Source organism: Homo sapiens, chromosome 11, assembly GCF_000001405.40.
Source record: "Homo sapiens chromosome 11, GRCh38.p14 Primary Assembly".
In the NCBI taxonomy this organism is placed as follows: Eukaryota; Metazoa; Chordata; class Mammalia; order Primates; family Hominidae; genus Homo; species Homo sapiens.
Genome location: NC_000011.10, coordinates 72,801,897 through 72,818,983, shown reverse-complemented (window position 1 = coordinate 72,818,983; position 17,087 = coordinate 72,801,897). Strand labels below are relative to the sequence as shown.

General features: G+C 50.0%; 1 protein-coding gene and 1 long non-coding RNA gene across 12 annotated transcripts in view, besides 6 other annotated features; one reads left to right on the top strand and one right to left on the bottom strand.

Moving 5' to 3' along the window:
• Positions 1-4,573, bottom strand: part of ATG16L2 (autophagy related 16 like 2) — a 29,330-nt gene extending 24,757 nt beyond the window's left edge. For 8 of the 10 annotated variants that reach the window (XM_005274376.6, XM_047427840.1, NM_001318766.2 and 5 more), the window contains exons 1-3: positions 4,421-4,573; positions 2,157-2,256; positions 1,129-1,228 (exon numbers count right to left, since the gene is read on the bottom strand). In XM_005274376.6, the coding sequence (XP_005274433.1) occupies positions 1,129-1,228; positions 2,157-2,256; positions 4,421-4,538 (318 nt within the window). In that variant the 5' untranslated portion in view covers positions 4,539-4,573. Of the gene's footprint in view, positions 1-1,128; positions 1,229-2,156; positions 2,257-2,726; positions 2,745-4,420 lie in introns of those variants that run through there. The other 2 variants (XM_011545334.2, XM_011545333.2) reach the window with 2 other exon arrangements.
• Positions 3,801-3,950: an enhancer, noted in NCBI's record as "active region_5209". NCBI's record gives its function as "activates an Ori minimal core promoter by ATAC-STARR-seq in GM12878 lymphoblastoid cells {active_cell/tissue: GM12878}" and the evidence as "EXISTENCE:reporter gene assay evidence [ECO:0000049][PMID:35858748]".
• Positions 4,481-4,930: a silencer, noted in NCBI's record as "silent region_3731". NCBI's record gives its function as "represses an Ori minimal core promoter by ATAC-STARR-seq in GM12878 lymphoblastoid cells {active_cell/tissue: GM12878}" and the evidence as "EXISTENCE:reporter gene assay evidence [ECO:0000049][PMID:35858748]".
• LOC107984421 (uncharacterized) lies at positions 4,917-16,676 on the top strand. Of its 2 annotated transcripts, XR_007062771.1 has the most exons (3): positions 4,917-6,351; positions 15,224-15,385; positions 16,440-16,676. It is a non-coding gene; the product is annotated as an uncharacterized LOC107984421 (long non-coding RNA). The 2 variants fall into 2 exon arrangements; XR_001748490.3 differs by lacking the exons at positions 15,224-15,385; positions 16,440-16,676 and adding an exon at positions 8,453-10,209.
• Positions 5,331-5,420: a silencer, noted in NCBI's record as "silent region_3730". NCBI's record gives its function as "represses an Ori minimal core promoter by ATAC-STARR-seq in GM12878 lymphoblastoid cells {active_cell/tissue: GM12878}" and the evidence as "EXISTENCE:reporter gene assay evidence [ECO:0000049][PMID:35858748]".
• Positions 5,961-6,090: an enhancer, noted in NCBI's record as "active region_5208". NCBI's record gives its function as "activates an Ori minimal core promoter by ATAC-STARR-seq in GM12878 lymphoblastoid cells {active_cell/tissue: GM12878}" and the evidence as "EXISTENCE:reporter gene assay evidence [ECO:0000049][PMID:35858748]".
• Positions 6,251-6,310: an enhancer, noted in NCBI's record as "active region_5207". NCBI's record gives its function as "activates an Ori minimal core promoter by ATAC-STARR-seq in GM12878 lymphoblastoid cells {active_cell/tissue: GM12878}" and the evidence as "EXISTENCE:reporter gene assay evidence [ECO:0000049][PMID:35858748]".
• Positions 11,039-11,108: a silencer, noted in NCBI's record as "silent region_3729". NCBI's record gives its function as "represses an Ori minimal core promoter by ATAC-STARR-seq in GM12878 lymphoblastoid cells {active_cell/tissue: GM12878}" and the evidence as "EXISTENCE:reporter gene assay evidence [ECO:0000049][PMID:35858748]".
• Positions 16,677-17,087: the final 411 nt, after the last annotated feature.

The window sequence follows — 17,087 nt, the reverse complement described above, 5'->3', positions numbered from 1 at the left end:
GAGAATCACCTCTCAAACAAATATTAAATTGGACCTACAACAGCAGCTCTAGGGAAAGGTTCTCAAATGAGTCCGTACCTATGCCCGCATTTCTGTTGGGCAGGTGACTTGCCATTCTGTGACTGGATGTGTATTTCCTGGGCTATCACAGTCTCTTTCAGAGGACTGGAAGCCCCATGGGGCCAGGTCTTGTTTATTGTTGCACTCCCCGTACTTTGGATATAGCAACTGTCAACAGATGTTGAGAGAATGAATGGAGAGCACAGAAGTTGATTTGTGTGAGAAGGGCTCAAATCCTGGCTCTACCTCTCCAAGCCTCAGTTTCCTCCTCTACAACCATAAAGTTGTGAAGGATTAACTGAGACAATGTTTAGCCCGATGCCTGCAAGGAGTCAACTCTCAAAACGGTGTGGGCCAAATTCTGGGGGAGATGGTGAGCCTGATTTTAGATGTGATCTCCAAAAAGCAGCTGAGCAAGAGAGTCAAGCTCAGAAAAGAAGGCTCGGCTAGAGACAGAACTGAGAGTTGGCAAACAGAAAAAACGGGGGTCAGTGAACCCCAAGAACACCCACATTTGAAGGGACAGGAATAGGGAGGAGGGGAAGGAGCCAGTGAAGGAAGTTCAGAGGCAACAATCACAGAAATGAGAGGGAAACCAGGAGAGCATGGTGAAAGAGAAGCCAAGAGACACTGTTGCAAAGGGGCAGGGAAGGCGGTAGTGTCAGGTGGAGCGTCCACACTCTGCCAATGCGCTAAATGAACCTAACTTCTGTAGTCTGCAAATGTATATTGAGCATCAACTGGTGCTAGGCCTTGGGGATGGCTGGGCGAGGGGTGAGCCATGGAGTAGTGAGCAGAGCAGGCTAAACCATGTGGAAGGGAAATGGGCTGCCAGGCCCTTGCACACCTAACTCCCTCCAGCTGCTGTTGGAGCCCACTTCATCCTGGGCTGCCCAGGGCACTCTGACCCCTGCTCAGCTTCAGGTCAGGGCCTGGCACACACTAGGGCTCACTCAATGCTTGCAGCACTGGGCTTGGAGAATTCAGCAAACACAGGAGTACCCGTCACTGGCTGGCTCCCTTGGACCACATCTCTCTACCCCATTTTCAGACCCCTTCCCAACTTACCTCACCACAGACCAGCCGGAGCCCCTCCTCCTCCTCCTGCCACTTCACCCTCAGTGCGACCAGTGATGGGACTTGGTCTGAGTCAAGCTCTGACTCCTCCCTGCCAACCAATCAGAGTGGTGCTCAATGTCCCCCGGTTCACCCAAGTGCCCAAAGGCACCCAAGTGATGCTACATGAAAAGCCTAAAACAAGAGCCATTAACTTCGTCCTGGGAAGATGGAAGCCAGCAAGCCAGTAAAGGAAAAGGCAAGTCTCTAGAAATGAGCTGTCCATGACTCCTCTGCTCTAAGATTCCCCTAGGCCTTGGCCAAGGACCCTTCTCAAGAAGCACCTCCCAGTCAGGCGTGGTGGCTCACACCTGTGATCCCAGCACTTTGGGAGGCCGAGGTGGAAGGATCACAAGATCAAGAGATCGAGACCATCCTGGCCAACATGGTGAAACCCCGTCTCTACTAAAAATACAAATATTAGCCGGGGGTGGTGGTGCACGTTCCAGGAGGCTGAGGCAGGAGAATTGCTTGAACCCAGGAGGCAGAGGTTGCAGTGAGCTGAGATCACGCCACTGCACTCCAGCCTGGGTGACAGAGCCAGACTCCGTCTCAAAAAAAAAAAAGCAAAGCACCTCCCAACTCTGAGCCCCAACCTATTCCTGGTTCTCATCTTTACTCCCTCTTTGCAACAGGTAGCAAGACCCTTTCTTTAGGCATCAGGCAAGGAACAGGGAAATGGAAAAAGACTGAGAAAGGGAAAAGACATAAGTATAGGGGTGGGACGGGAAGGAGATGGGACAAATGCAGAGAGATGGACAAAGAAAGGTGGAGGGGAAAGAGATTCTAAACAGCTGTCCTGTGGGAAGGCCAAGGGCCTGCCTCCCCCACCACCCCCACCACCTCCACCACCCCCACCACCCCTGGGCAGCAGCCAAGGGCTGATGAGGCACTAGGGAGAGAATGAACCCAGCACAGGCAGCAGGGGCAGGGCCCCAGCACAGGCAGCCCTTTGTGACCACGGACCCACATACACTTACCAGGGGCCCTGGTGGGTGGTGGGAGTGACACTGTTTGGCTCCGGCTGCAGCTTCTTTGAGAACTTGTCCAGCAGCTCAGCCTTCTCTAAGAGATGGTTATCTGGAGAGTGCAAGAGAGTGAGCCTGGGGCAGAGACAGATACCCAGCAGCCCCCTGGCATGCAATTTATCTCCGGCTAAAAGGGCTGAAGGAGCCCAGAGATGCTAGGGATGGGGAAGCTTCTGGCAGGCTGGCCTCTGCCCTGTGCCTGAGGGGCATCTGTGCAGTTCTACAGGACCTTCAGCCCTAGCAGTGTCCTCATAGCACCGGTCCCCAGGCCCACGTGGAAGAGGACCTGCTCTCCCAGGGACAGAAGGATGACCACTGCGGGGTACTGCCCGCTGAGGGTCCTGAGGGAAGGAAGGGGCCTGGGATTGATTCATCCCTGCCTCAGAGCAAGGCTTAGCCCCAGAAAGTGATGAAATAAACCGAGCTCTACCTGTCAATGGCCTTTGGCAAGTCACTTCCCCTCCAAGGGCTCTAGCTTTCTGCACTTAAAAATAATCCCCAGCCGGGCGCGGTGGCTCACACCTGAATTCCCAGCGCTCTGGGAGGCCGAGGCGGGCGGATCACGAGGTCAGGAGATCGAGACCATCCTGGCTAACACGGTGAAACCCCCATCTCTACTAAAAAATACAAAAAATTAGCCAGGCGTGGTGGCAGGCGCCTGTAGTCCCAGCTACTCGGGAGGCTGAGACGGGAGACAGGCGTGAACTTGGGAGGCAGAGCTTGCAGTGAGCGGAGATCACACCACTGCACTCCAGCCTGGGCAACAGAGCAAAGACTCCATCTCAAATAAATAAATAAATAAATAATCCCAACTTCCCCAGCCCTGGTGTAAGGTACCCCCAGGCCAGAATAGAAAGTCCTTGAGCAATTATCCAGCCGACATTCTGGAGGTTGGTGGTTTGACCCTGGAACACCCTCCCCCATCAACAGTCACTTCCTCTTTTCTCACCAGTTCCAGGGGAGGGTGGGGTGGTAAGTCCGGGCCTAGCTCCCTCCTCATCAACTTCCTTCCCACACTCAGTGCCCTGTCACCTTGACTGAGGCCCTGGGCCTGGCCTAGTTCTCATGAAAACCCCACCTCAGCCCCCAGGGTACTGCAGCACCCAGCAAACCTAAAGAAGGTCTCTATACCCAATTAACAAGTAAGAAGACTGAGGCTTAGCGATGTGATCTGCCCAAGGTTTCAAGACTGGCCCTTCAGTCTGATTTCAGCCCTCCAGATCTCTCTAGTCCCTCAGACTCACAGCTCCCTGGGTCGGGGCGGGGGGCAGGGGTTGGGGGGGCGGTGACCCCCTCCCTCAAACTGGACGGTTCCACTGTCTGTCTGAGCAGTGGAGAAGTGTGGCTGCTGGAGGTGGGGGCTGGCCTCGCAACCCTGAAGGTAGAGGACCAGCAGCCTGGAAGCTTGCAGAGAAATTTTCCTGGCTAAGAGCAGATTTGATTGTGGGGGTTTGGCCAAGATTAGCCCCAGTGAGAGAGCCGCAGGGATTGTGGTTAGACTTCCAACCACAGACATACAATCGCAGGCGGCCAGAGGTGCGACACACAGGCACACCTGTTCATCCCCTCTTGAAATGCCACACCCTATCCTGACCAGCTGCCCAGAAACAATTCTGAGAGTCCGACTTCGCTGGGCTCAGCCAGCATCCACCAGCAGCCCGGGGCCCCCTGATGCCCCCTCAGGCTGGGTAGGCTGACAGGGAGGTGTTCCATAAGCCTGTGCCAGCGTCGCCTGTCAGCGGCAGAGCCTGAGATGCACAGCCTCCTCCTTAGAGGTTCCGAGTGTCGCCCCTCTCCGGATGGGCCAATAAGTGGCTGCTCTGGACAAGTCCCGCGTTCTTTCACTGCGCTACCGAGACTAAGTGCACTGATCAAGCCCCTACCCCGGGGACTGCCCGGGTGGGGAGGCAAAAGAGACCCTGCAAAACCAACACCCGAGGACGCACTTGCGTCTCGGAAGCCCAGCTTGTGGGAGGCAGAGCCCGTCCTGAGGGGCGACGAGGGCAGGGGGACCAGGAGGGGCTCGTCCAGGTTCTAACCAGAGCCTGGATGGCAAGGGGCGGAGTCCTGGCAGTCGGGATGGGCGTAACGCACAGGCTCAAGGCATAAGGCACAGCGCACTCGGGTCACAGGCGGAGGAGCCAGCCAAACCCTCTCCCCGCGCCCGTAGCCGCGTCCCCTCAGCCGCCATCCTCTCAGCACCGGGGCGCACTCACAGGCCGGCACCAGCTCCAGGAAAAGCGCCTTTTGCGTACGGTCCCGAAGCCGCAGCTGCCGCACGATGTGGCGTTTCCAGCGCGCTGCGGGGGCACCGGGGACGCCCGGCCCCGCCATGGCCGCGCTCTCCCGCCTAGCGGCGCGTTCCTCCCGCCCAGGACGGCGCCAGGCCGGGGCGGGGCCTCGCGGGGACTCCGTGACGCCAGGGGGCGGGCGGCGGCGGGGAATCCCCGGCTTGTCCCAAGAGGGCTTTGGCGGGGAGGACCGAAGGCCGACGCCGGGAGGATCTGCCTCCGGGAGGAGCCGCCTCCGGGTCTGAACCGCCGGGGCCCCGTCCGAAATGTTCACCTAAGTGGGGGCTCCTGTGGCTGCGAGGGTCATAAGCAGGAGCGAGGTCGGAGCCTCCGGGGAGGCTTCCCCCACGCGGGTGGAGCGCTCCGGAGGCGGGGCCCTCAAGGCCCGGGTGTCTTAACCCCGCCGCGCCCGGGCCGAGTTCGAGAGCCGCTGGTGCTTCCCAGGCCGTCGCGCTCCTGGCCGCGCACCCAGCCAGGGACCCAGAGGCCCTCAGCCCCGGGCTCTGCGCGTACACTGAGGGCGCGGCGCAGCAGGACAGCAAGATAAGGAAGCAGAGACTGAAGGGAGGAATCCCCGCTTTCCGGGGATGATGGCGTTCGAGTTGGGTCTGTGAGGGATGAAATAGGAGTTGGCCAGAGGGAGAGAGGGACTCTAGGCCTCGAGAAGAGCACGTGCAGAGGTTCCGTGACACGAAAACGCCAGGTGGGTGCGGGGCTGGGAGGACAGGAGGCAGAAGGGTTTACGGCTCCACATGGTCGCCGAAATTTTAGGTCCCTGAGAGTAAAGGGGTGCAGCTGATTTCATCTAGAAAGCCCCTGGCCGGGAGGAGAGAACGAGCTTGCTTGCCTGGGGTTGCAAAGGAGTGGGTAGCTGAGACGGCCAGCACCCCAGCATCCTGACTCAGGGCCAGACGCTTCACCCCATTGGGCGGCGTCTGGAGGAGCAGACACATCTCTTGTGGGTACCCTCGAAAGTGAATCATGGGTCGCAGGGAACTGTGGTCAAACCGTCTCTAGCTAGATGCTAGAGAGCCAGCTCTGCAGGCTCAGGCTACTGTGAGACACGAAAGGAGGGACTCGCTGGGCACAGCCTCACCCTGGGGCATGCCAGCAGGCCCTGCCCTCTGAGTGTTGGCAGACTTGAACATCCCTAGGGAACGAGAGAAGTTGGGCAACGATGGGAGAGCAGTGCAGGCCCTGGAGGTGACGAGTCTGTTGAGATTCTGATGGGGATGGGTCAGAGGACGTAGAAAGCAGTGAAGGCCTAGACGCCCCCAGGTCAGTGTAGCCTGCTCTGCTTCCAGTGAGCTGGGCTCAGTCCCCCACATGTCATTGTCTTAGACGCCCATGGCCTTTGCACAGGCCGAGCCTGATGTTTGGAACATCGTCGCCTCTAGGGGGCCTGGCTCCTAATCATGCATCACCTCCTCCAGGAGAACTTTCCTGCCCCTACACTGAGTTCAAGCTTCTCAGACACCAGCCCCAGTTGAGTTCGAGTTATAACCGTCACCAGTTATCACACCATCCTGTAATCTGTGCGGTGCCCCTTAGGGCAGGACCTGGGTCCTAGATGTCTCTGTACCTCTAGCCCCAAACCAGGCCTGACCTGTCTCTTGAAGGAGTATTTGTGTTGAAGATGGGTGGTAACGTTCAGCAAAAGCCATGCCCAGGAGACAGGCACAGTACCCATGGAGACCCAGGGCCAGCTGATGACAGTGATGAATTCCCTTTAGAACTGGCGGACTCTTGGGTGCTTGGAGACACTATATAAATAAGGAACTCTGGCTGTGTGCATGGGAGAGTATATTAACAGGGCTTGGCCTGGCTGTGAGGTGCAGAGATGCCGTTTCTCTCAGGTAAGGAGCCATATTGGGGCAGGGGTTTCCTAATCCTTTTTTGACTCACAAAATACACCTAGGAAATGTTAAATAAATAGTCATTTTTGAGTAGTATATGATAAAGAAGTGATTGATTTTGACTAAAAATATTCATGTTCTATTTTTAGAATATGAAAGATTGTATTATAAAGATCACTTGAAATAAAATTTTAGATAATATATGGAGACAAATTTCTGCTTTTTACATTTAACTTGCTGTTTAATGTATCTCAAATTATTTATGTAAGAGATATATGATTTGACCAATAAATATAAAAAAATGTTATACCATAATCTGGGGACCTAAAGTACTTCACTTTTTTTGTTCTGTTTTGTTTTTGAGACAGGGTCTCTCTCTGTTGCCCAGGCTGGAGTGCAGTGGCCCAATCATGGCTCACTGCAGCCTCATCCTCCTGGGATTAAATGATTCTTCCACCTCAGTCTCCCGAGTAGCTGAGACTACAGGCACATGCCACTATCGCTGGTTTTGTTGTTGTTTTGTTTTGTTTTGTTTTTTGAGACAGAGTCTCTGTTACCCAGGCTGGAGTGCAGTGGCACAATCTCGGTTCATTGCAACCGCCTCCTCCCGGGTTCAAGCGATTCTCATGCATCCGCCTTCCGAATAGGTGGGATTACAGGCATGCGTCACCACACCCAGCTAATTTTTGTACTTTTAGTAGAGACAGGGTTTCACCATGTTGGCCAGGCTGATCTCCAGCTCCTGACCTCAAGTGATCCACCCGCCTCAAGCCTCCCAAAGTGCTGGGACTACAGGTGTGAGTCACCGTGCCCAGCCGCCCAGCTCATTTTAAATTTTTCTTGTAAAGACAAGGTCTCACTATGTTGCCCAGGCTGGTCTCTAATTCCTGGGCTCAAGCAATCCTCCTGCCTTGGCATCCCAAGTGCTAGCATTACAGGCATGAGCTACTGCACCTGGCCCTAAAGTACTTAAAATGTAATTTAAAATTTGCACCTGGGAGGCCAGACACGGTGGCTCACACCTGTAATCCCAGCACTTTGGGAGGCCAAGGCAGGTGGATCACAAGGTCAGGAGTTCAAGACCAGCCTGGCCAGCATAGTGAAACCCCATCTCTACTAAAAATACCCAAAAAAAAGCCAGGCTTGGTGGTGGGCGTCTGTAATCCCAACTACTCAGGAGGCTAAGGCAGAGAATTGCTTGAATCCGGGAGGCAGAGGTTGCAATGAGCTGAGATCGCACCACTGCACTCCAGCCTGGTGACAGAGCGAGACTCCATCTCAAAAAAAAAAAAAAAAAAAAAAAAAAAAGTGCACCTGGGTTAGGCATCTCCCAGAAGCCAGAGTGATTGTTCAAAAACTTAAATCAGGCCAGGCACGGTGTCTCACACCTGTAATCCCAGCACTTTGGGAGGCCACGGTGGGCAGATCACCTGAGGTCGGGACTTTGAGACCAGCCTGACCAACATGGAGAAACCCCGTCTCTACTAAAAATACAAAAATTATCCAGGCATGGTGGCGCACGCCTGTAATCCCAGCTACTTGGGAGGCTGAGGCAGGAGAATCACTTGAACCCAGGAAGCAGAGGTTTCAGTGAGCCAAGATTGCGCCACTGCACTCCAGCCTGAGCAACAGAACAAGACTGTCTCAAAAACAAAAACAAAAATCTTAAGTCATCTCAAGTTCCTCTTGCTTAAAACCCTTGAAAGGCTCTCCAGCATAGTCAAAGCAAATACCAAACCCTTTACCATGGCCTTCAAGGCCCTGCTTGATCTGGCCCCTGCCCACATCACTGATCTTACCTCTTCCTACTCTTTAGCCTTATTCACTGCACTGAAATCCCACTGCCAAGCTTAGCCCCACCTTGGAGGCTTTGCCCTGGCTGCACCCCTCTCCTAGTGCTCTTCCTCCACAACTTTTAGAGGCTAGCTCCTACATACCAGGCAGATTTCAGAAGACCTTTCCTGTCATCCAATCTGAAAAAGCTCCCATCCCAATCAGCGTCTATCACATCACCCTTGTTCTTCCTTTCAGAGCACCTAATACTCCCAGAAAGAATCACATTTCTGTGTTTGCTAGTTGTTTATTATGTCTCTTCTACCAGGCTGGGAACTTCAGGAAAGCCAGGACCAAGTCAATCTTGATCTAGGCTCTGTCTTCAGCATCTAGAACCAGGCTTGGCACCAACTGAGTAGGTAATCCGTAAATAAATTGCTGTTGCTGTGTATCAAAAAGAAAAAACCAAAGTTTGCATGGTCCAGTGCTTAGAAGTTTTGAAATAAAAAATGTAGCTATTTTTTGGCTGGGTATAGTGGCTCACGCCTGTAATCCCAGCACTTTGGGAGTCCGAGGCGGTGGATCACCTGAAGTCAGGAGTTCGAGACCAGCCTGGCCGACATAGTGAAACCACGTCTCTACTAAAAATACAAAAATTAGCCGGGAGTGGTGGCAGGTGCCTATAATCCTAGCTGCTTGGGAGGCTGAGCGGGGAGAATCACTTGAACCTGGGAGGCAGAAGTGGCAGTGAGCTGAGATCGTGCCATTGCACTCCAGCCTGGGCGAAAGAGCAAGACTCAGTTTAAAAAAAAAAAAAGTAGCTATTTTTTAAATTGGAAAACCAATCACATGCACATAGCAAAGAATTGAAATAGTACAAAAGTGAGCCTGTTTGCCTCACACCTTCATATTGATCAGGATAGGACAGGCTGGTCTGTGGTTACAGTGATTTCTTTTTTTTTTTTTTTCTTCCAGAGATGGAGTCTCGCTCTGTCTCCCAGTCTGGAGTGCAGTGGCATGATCTTGGCAATCTGGGCTCACTGCAACCTCCGCCTCCCAGATTCAAGCAATTCTCCTGCCTCAGCCTCCCGAGTAGCTGGGACTACAGGCACACGCTGCCACACCTGGCTAATTTTTTGTATTTTAGTAGAGACAGGGTTTCACCACGTTGCCCAGGCTGGTCTCAAACTCCTGAGCTCAGGCAATCTGCTCGCCTCAGCCTCCCAAAGTGCTAGGATTACAGGCGTGAGCCACCGCACCTGGCAGTACAGTGATTTCTAATATTGCCCATGACTGTTGGCTGAACTCAACTGGTGATTCTTACTTTGAATGGCTTATGTGACTGCGATCACACCAGGACTGGAGTTACCTGAAGACTCAGCTGGGCAGGTTACTGTTGATGGCTCACTCATTTGGCTGGCAGGAGATGCCATCTATTGGCTAGAGGGTCGGAGCTGCAAACCAAAGCACCTACATGTGGCCCCTTCACATGGCTTAGGTTTCTCAGAACATGGTGGCTAGATTCTGAGAGGGAGGCATCCCAAAACATGCATCCAACAGTATGAAAGCTGCCAGTCTCTTACGGTTTGACCCTGAAATTAGAACACATCACTTCCTCTGCATTCTATTAACCAAAGCAGTCACGGACCAGCCCAGATTGAAGGAGAGGGGACATAGGCCCCAGCCTTCAATGAAAGGAATGTCAAGCCAGGCACGATGGCTCACACCTGTAATCCCAGCACTTTGGGAGGTCAAGGCGGGCGGATCATCTGAGGTCAGGAGTTTGAGACCAGCCTGACTAACGTGGTGAAACCCCGTCTCTACTAAAAATACAAAAATTAGCCGGATGTGGTGGCGCACGCCTGTAATCCCAGCTATTCAGGAGGCTGAGGCAGGAGAATCGCTTGAACCCAGGAGGTGGAGTTTGCAGTGAGCCGAGATTGTGCCATTGCATTCCAGCCTGGGTGACAGAATGAGACTGTCTCAAAAAAAAATTAAAAAAGGAATGTCAAAAAAGTCTGGCCATCTTTAATCCACCACATGTGGATACTAAATAAAACTCCAAATCTCAGTCGCTTAAAACAACAAAGGCTTATTTCTTACTCATCCCACATTAGACAATGATGGTGTGCTGTTCTCCCCCAGCAGGGACTTAAATCCTTCTGACATCACCATAATCTCAGTTATTTGATTCCAACTGCTCAGATTGGGGTAGGGGAGAGGGAAAAGATTGACACTAACACTTAATTGCCTTGGACTGAAGTGATACATTCTTCTGCCCAATTCCGACTGGTGACATCACATCTACTAGGAAGGTTGAGAAATGTAGTCTTTCCATAGTCCCTGGAAAAGAGAAATGGGTGTGGATACATCACTGTGGCTAACACACACCACTTTCCCAGTCTCCTCCTCTAAAAGCATCACCACTAACACTACAGAGTGTATACTTCCAGAAATATTTATGCATATACGACACATAAAACACAAAGGGGAACAGGCACAGTGGCTCACGCCTGTAATCCCTGCACTTTGGGATGCTGAGGCGAGCAGATCACTTGAGCCCAGGAGTCTGAGACTAGCCTGGGCAACATGGCGAAACCCTGTCTCTTCTAAAAATACAAAATTTAGCCAGGCATGGTGGCACATGCCTGTAGTCCCAGCTACTCCAGAGGCTGGGGTGGGAGGATCACTTGAGCTCAGGAGGCAGAGGTTGCATTGAGCTGTGACCATGCCACTGCACTCAGCCTGGGTGACAGAGTGAGACCTTGTCTAAAACAAAAAAAACCCACAGAAAAAGAGTAGCATTTACACACTTCTACACTTTGCTTCTTCCTCTTTTTTTTTTTTTTTTTTTGGACAGAGTCTCACTCTGCTCTCCAGGCTAGAGTGCGATGGCACAATCATAGCTCATTGTAACCTCAAACTCCTGGGCTCAAACAATCCTCCCACCTCAGCCTCCTGAGACTAAAGATATGAGCCACCACACCTGGCCAAGCAAAGGATTTAAGTAGACATTTCTTCAGGCCAGACACGGTGGCTCATGCCTGTAATCCCAGCACACTGGGAGGCCAAGGCGGGCAGATCACCTGAGGTCAGGAGCTGAAGACCAGCCTGGCCAACATAGTGAAACACCATATCTACTAAAAATACAAAAATTAGCTGGGTGTGGTGGCACTTGCCTGTAGTCCCAGCTACTTAGGAGGCTGAGGCAGGAGAATCGCTTGAACCCGGGAGGCAGAGGTTGCAGTGAGCAGCGATCACATCACTGCACTCCAGCCTGGGCGATGGATTGAGACACTGTCTCAAAAATAAATAAATAGACATTTCTTCAAAGTAAATATACAAATGGCCAATAAGCATGTGAAAAATTGCTCAACATCATCAGTAGGGAAGTGCAAATAAAAAACCACAATGAGCTAGCACTTTATATCTACTGAGATGGCTGTAATTTTTTTAAAATAAAATAACAGTGTCAGGGAGGAAGTGGAGAAAATAGAACCCTCATGCATTGCTGGTGGGAATGGCTGGTGGTGCAGCTGATGTGGAAAATAGTTTGGAAGTTTCTCAAAAGGTTAAACGTACAACCATCATATGATCCAGCAATTCCATTCCTGGGTTCATATCCACAAGATCAAAAGAATCAAAAGCAGGGACTTGAACAGATATTTGTATGCTGCTATAGTTTGGATGTTTGTACCCTGCAAATCTCATGTTGAAATAGGATCCCCAGTATTAGGCCTAATGGGAGGTGCTTGGGTCATGGGGGCAGAAACCTTATGAAGACATAATGCCCTCCCTGGGTGGGCAGGAGTGGTGAGTTCTTACTTTATCAGTTCCCAGAGAACTGATTGTTTAAAAAGGGCCTGGAGGCCTGGAGCAGTGGCTCACTCCTGTAATCCCAGCACTTTGGGAGGCTGAGGCGGGTGGATCACTTGAGGTCAGGAGTTCGAGACCAGCCTGGCCAACATGGTGAAACCCCATCTCTACTAAAAATACAAAAAAATAAATTTTAAAAAAATCAGCCAGGTGTGGTGGCAAGTGCATGTAGTCCCAGCTACTTGGGAGGCTGAGGCATGAGAATCGCTTGAACCCAGGAGGTGGAGGTTGCAGTGAGCCAAGATCACGCTACTGTACTCCAGCCTGGGTGACAGAGGGAGACTCTGTCTCAGAAAAAAACAAAAAAAGGGCCTGGCCCTCCCATCTCACTCTCTCTTGCTTCCCCTCTTGTCATGTGATCTCTGCACACCCTGGCCCCCCTTCACCTTCCACAGTGAGTGGAAGCAGCCTGAGGCCTCACCAGAAGCAGATGCTAGTGGCATGCTTCTTGTACAACCTGCAGAACTGTGAATCAAATAAACCTCTTTTCTTTATAAATTACCCAGCCTCAGGAATCAGAGTAAGACATACACCCATGTTCATAGCAGCATTATTCACAATATCCAAAAGGTGGAAACAATGTAAGTGTCCATCAACAGATGAATTGATAAGCAAAATGAGTGTGTACATAGAACAAAATATTATTCAGCCATAAAAAAGCATGAAATTCTGATACATACAACATGGATGAAACTTGAAAACATGCTAAGTGAAATAAGTTAGACATAAAAGGACAGATTTATAAATCCACTTGTATAAAATATACAGAATAGCCAGGCTCAGTGGCTCATGCCTGTTATTCCAACACTTTGGGAGGCCGAGACAGGTGGATCACCTGAGGTCAGGAGTTCAAGACCAGCCTGGCCAACATGGTGAAAATCCATCTCTACTTAAAATACAAAAATTAGCCAGGTGTGTTGGTAGGCACCTGTAGTCCCAGCTACTAGGGAGGCTGAGGCAGGAGAATTGCTTGAACCCAGTAGGCGGAAGTTGCAGTAAACCAAGATCACACCATTACACTCCAGCCTGGGCAATGGAGGGATACTTGTTCTCCAAAAAATAGTAATAATAAAAATAAAACAAGGCTGGGCGCAGTGGCTCACGCCTGTAATCTCAGCACTTTGGGAGGCCGAGGTGGGCAGATCATGAGGTCAGGAGTTCGAGACCAGCCTGGCCAACATGGTGAAACCCTGTCCCTATGAAAAATACAAAAATTAGCCAGGCATGGTGATGCACGCCTATAATCCCAGCTACTCAGGAGGCTGAGACAGGAGAATCGCTTGACCCTGGGAGGCAGAGGTTGCAGTGAGCCGAGATGGTGCCATTGCACTCCAGCCTGGGCGACAGAGCGAGACTCCATCTCAAAAAAAAAAAAAGAAATTAAAATTAAAAAAAATAAAATATATAGAATAGACAAACTAATGGAGACAGAAAGTAGACTAGCGGTTACCAGGGCTTAGGGGGAAAAGAGGAACGAGGAAATATTGCTTAATGTTTACAGAATTTCTGTTTGGGGTGATGAAAAAGTTTTAGAAATAGTAGTGGCCAGGCACAGTGGCTCATGCCTATAATCCTAGCACTTGGGGATGCTGAGGTGGGTGGATCACTTGAACCCACGAGTTTGAGAGCAGCCTGGGCAACACAGGAAAACCCCATATCTACAAAATATATAAAAATTAGTGGGGGCGTGGTGGCATGCGCCTGTCATCCCAGCTACTTGAGAGGCTGAAGCAGGAGAATCACTTGAGCCCAGGAGGTCGAGTCTGCAGTGAGCCATGGCTATACTACTGTACTCTAGCCTGGATGACAGAGTGAGACTCCGTCTCTTAAAAATAAAAAATTAAAGTATGGTTAAAAAGGCAATTTTTGTGTTACTTATGTTTTACCACAATTTTTTTTTTAAACCTCACTCAAAAAAGAATGACATCATCTTAGGAGGCCGGGCGCAGTGGCTCACACCTGTAATCCCAGCACTTTAGGAGGCCAAGGCGGGTGGATTGCCTGAGTTTAGGAGTTCAAGACCAGCCTGACCAACATGGTGAAAGCCCGTCTCTACTAAAAATACAAAAATTAGCTGGGCATGGTGGCACACGCCTGTAGTCCCAGCTACTTGGGAGGCTGAGACAGGAGAATCACTTGAACTCAGGAGGCGGAAGTTGCAGTGAGTCGAGATCGCACCACTGCACTCTGGCCTGGGCAACAGTGGAAGACTCCATCTCAAAACAAAAACAAAAAACAAACAAACAAAAGCAAAGTAGGCCGGGCGTGGTGGCTCATGCCTGTAATCCCAGCACTTTGGGAGGCCCAGGTGGGTGGATCACCTGAAGTCAGGAATTCGAGACCAACCTGGCCAACATGGTGAAACCCCATCCCTACTAAAAATACAAAATTAGCCGGGCATGGTGGTGCGCTCCTGTAATCCCAGCCACTCGGGAGGCTGAGGCAGGAGAATTGCTTAAATCCAGGAGGCAAAGGTTGCAGTGAGCCAAGATCGCTCCACTGCACTCCAGCCTGGGCGACAAGAGTGAGACTCTGTCTCAAAAAACAAAAACAAAAACCAGAAAAACAAAGTAGTAAAATCCAGAAGATAGAACTTCTACAAATCAACCAAACTGAAAACGCAATATAAAAATGAGCAATGGCTTTCATCATCAGAAGAGAAAGAAAACTCACTGATCTTGCATGCCCCCAAAAAAAGAAAGGAAAATAAAAGTTAACCACAAAAAATTATAATGTAAGTTAAAGTACAAATGAGGGGTCATTTTTTTACTCATCATATTGGCAAAAGTTAAGACATTGCAAGATATAATCATGCACTGCATAAGGATGTTTTAGTCAGCAACAGACTTCAGATAAGACAGCAGTCCCATAAGATTATAAGACTGTATTTTTACTATACCTTTTCTATGTTAAGATACACAAATACAAACCATTGTGTTACAGTTGCCTACAGTATTCAGTGTAGTACATGCTGTACAGGTTTATAGCCTGGGAGCAAAAGGTTATATCATATAGCCAAGGTGTGTGTGGTGGGCTATACCCTCTGTTTGTGTAAGTACACTGTGATGTTCACACAAGGATGAAATCACCTAACGATGCATTTCTCAGTGCGTATCCTGGTTGTTAAGTGATCCATGGCTATATTCAGAGTTGGTGAGAGCGTGGGGAAAAGGGAGTCCATTGTTCGTTGCTGGTGGGAGTGTAAATTGGTTTAATCTCTTAGGACAATTTGGCCATCTACACACTGATATATATGCACATCCTTGGACCCAGCAGTTGCACTCCAGTGTGCAACAGGATGAATGGTTACAGATATCATGGTACATTCATAAGACAGAATCCAATGCAATTCAAAGAAGGAGCTGGATCTATGTGTCCTGACATTGTAAGTATATGTCTGAAATACTTCATAATACTTCTTAAAACCCGACAGGTTTATTTTTGTTTCTAATGTTATATTCTGTTTCTTTGTCTTTTTTTTTTTTTTTGAGATGGAGTCACGCTCTGTTGCCCAGGCTGGCTGAAGTGCTGTGACACGATCTCAGCTCACTGCAACCTCTGCCTCCCAGGTTCAAGCGATTCTCCTGCCTCAGCCTCCCGAGAAGCTGGGATTACAGGCACGCACCACCATGCCCAGCTAATTTTTGTATTTTTAGTAGAGACGGGGATTCACCATGTTGGCCAGGATGGTCTCGATCTCCTGACCTTGTGATCCGGCCGCCTCGGCCTCCCAAAGTGCTGGGATTACAGGCGTGAGCCACCGTGCCAGGCCTTCTTTTTCTTTTTTAATTGAGACAGGGTCTCTGTCTGTCACCCAGGATCGAGTGCAGTGGTGTGGTCATAGCTCACTGTAGCCGTGACCTCCCGGACTCTAGTGATCCTCCTGCCTCAATCTCCCAAGTGGCTGGTCCTGCAGGGGCATGCCATCACACCAAGCTTTTTATTTATTTATTTATTTATTTATTTATTTATTTATTTATTTAGAGATAGGGCCTTGCGCTGTTGCCCAGGCTGGAGTGCAGTAGCGTGATCTCTGCTCACTGCAACCTCCACCCCCAGGCTCAAGCAATCCTCCCATTTTCAGCCTCCCGTGTAGCTAGGACCACAAGCATGTGCCACCACACCTTGCTAAGTTTTGTTTTTTGTTTGTTTGTTTGTTTTGTAGAGAAAGGTTTTTGCCATGTTGTCCAGATTGGTCTCAAATTCCTGGACTCAAGCAATTTGCCCACCTTGGCCTCTCAAACCGCTGGGATTGCACGCATGAACCACCTCAACCAGCCATATTCTGTTTCTATTATAAATGATGAGATTAAGCGTTCAGACTGCTGTTTGCAAACAGTTTTCACAAATGACACCTTTAGGGGCAGGTTGGCTTTCTTCTCAGTATATGAAAAACCAAATGAGATATGATCATCATGTCTACTTTTTTTTCCTTCCAGCCGTGGTTTTGCAGCCTTAGTGACATCTGGATATGAGTTTGGAGCAGATAAATGCAAGAATCTGGTAACAATCAGCTTGAGGCAAATTTGCAGGTTTATTTTTATGCTTCTTTTTAATTAGTTATTTATATCCATAACCAATAGCCCACTAAATATGATAAACTAATATATTAATAGAATTAAAAACTAAACAGGTCAGGTGTGGTGGCTTACGCCTGTAATCCCAACACTTTGGGAGGCCAAGGCAGGAGGATCACTTGAGCCCAGGAGTTCGAGACAAGTCTGGGCAACATGGCAAAACCCCATCTCTACTAAAGGTAAAAAATAAACTAAACAGTTTAAAAGTCTGAAATGGTTAAAAACATCCATTGTATGGGGAAAGTGGGTTCAGCTGTAGCTGTGTTAGTCTTTTGTTTTTTTTTTTTTTTTTTTTTGAGATGGAGTCTCTCTCTGTCGCCCAGGCTGGAGTGCAGTGGCGCGATCTCGGCTCACTGCAAGCTCTGCCTCCCGGGTTCACACCATTCTCCTTCCTCAGCCTCCCGAATAGCTGGGACTACAGGCGCCCGCCACCACACCCGGCTAATTTTTTGTATTTTTAGTAGAGACGGGGTTTCACTGTGTTAGCCAGGATGGTCTCGATCTCCTGAC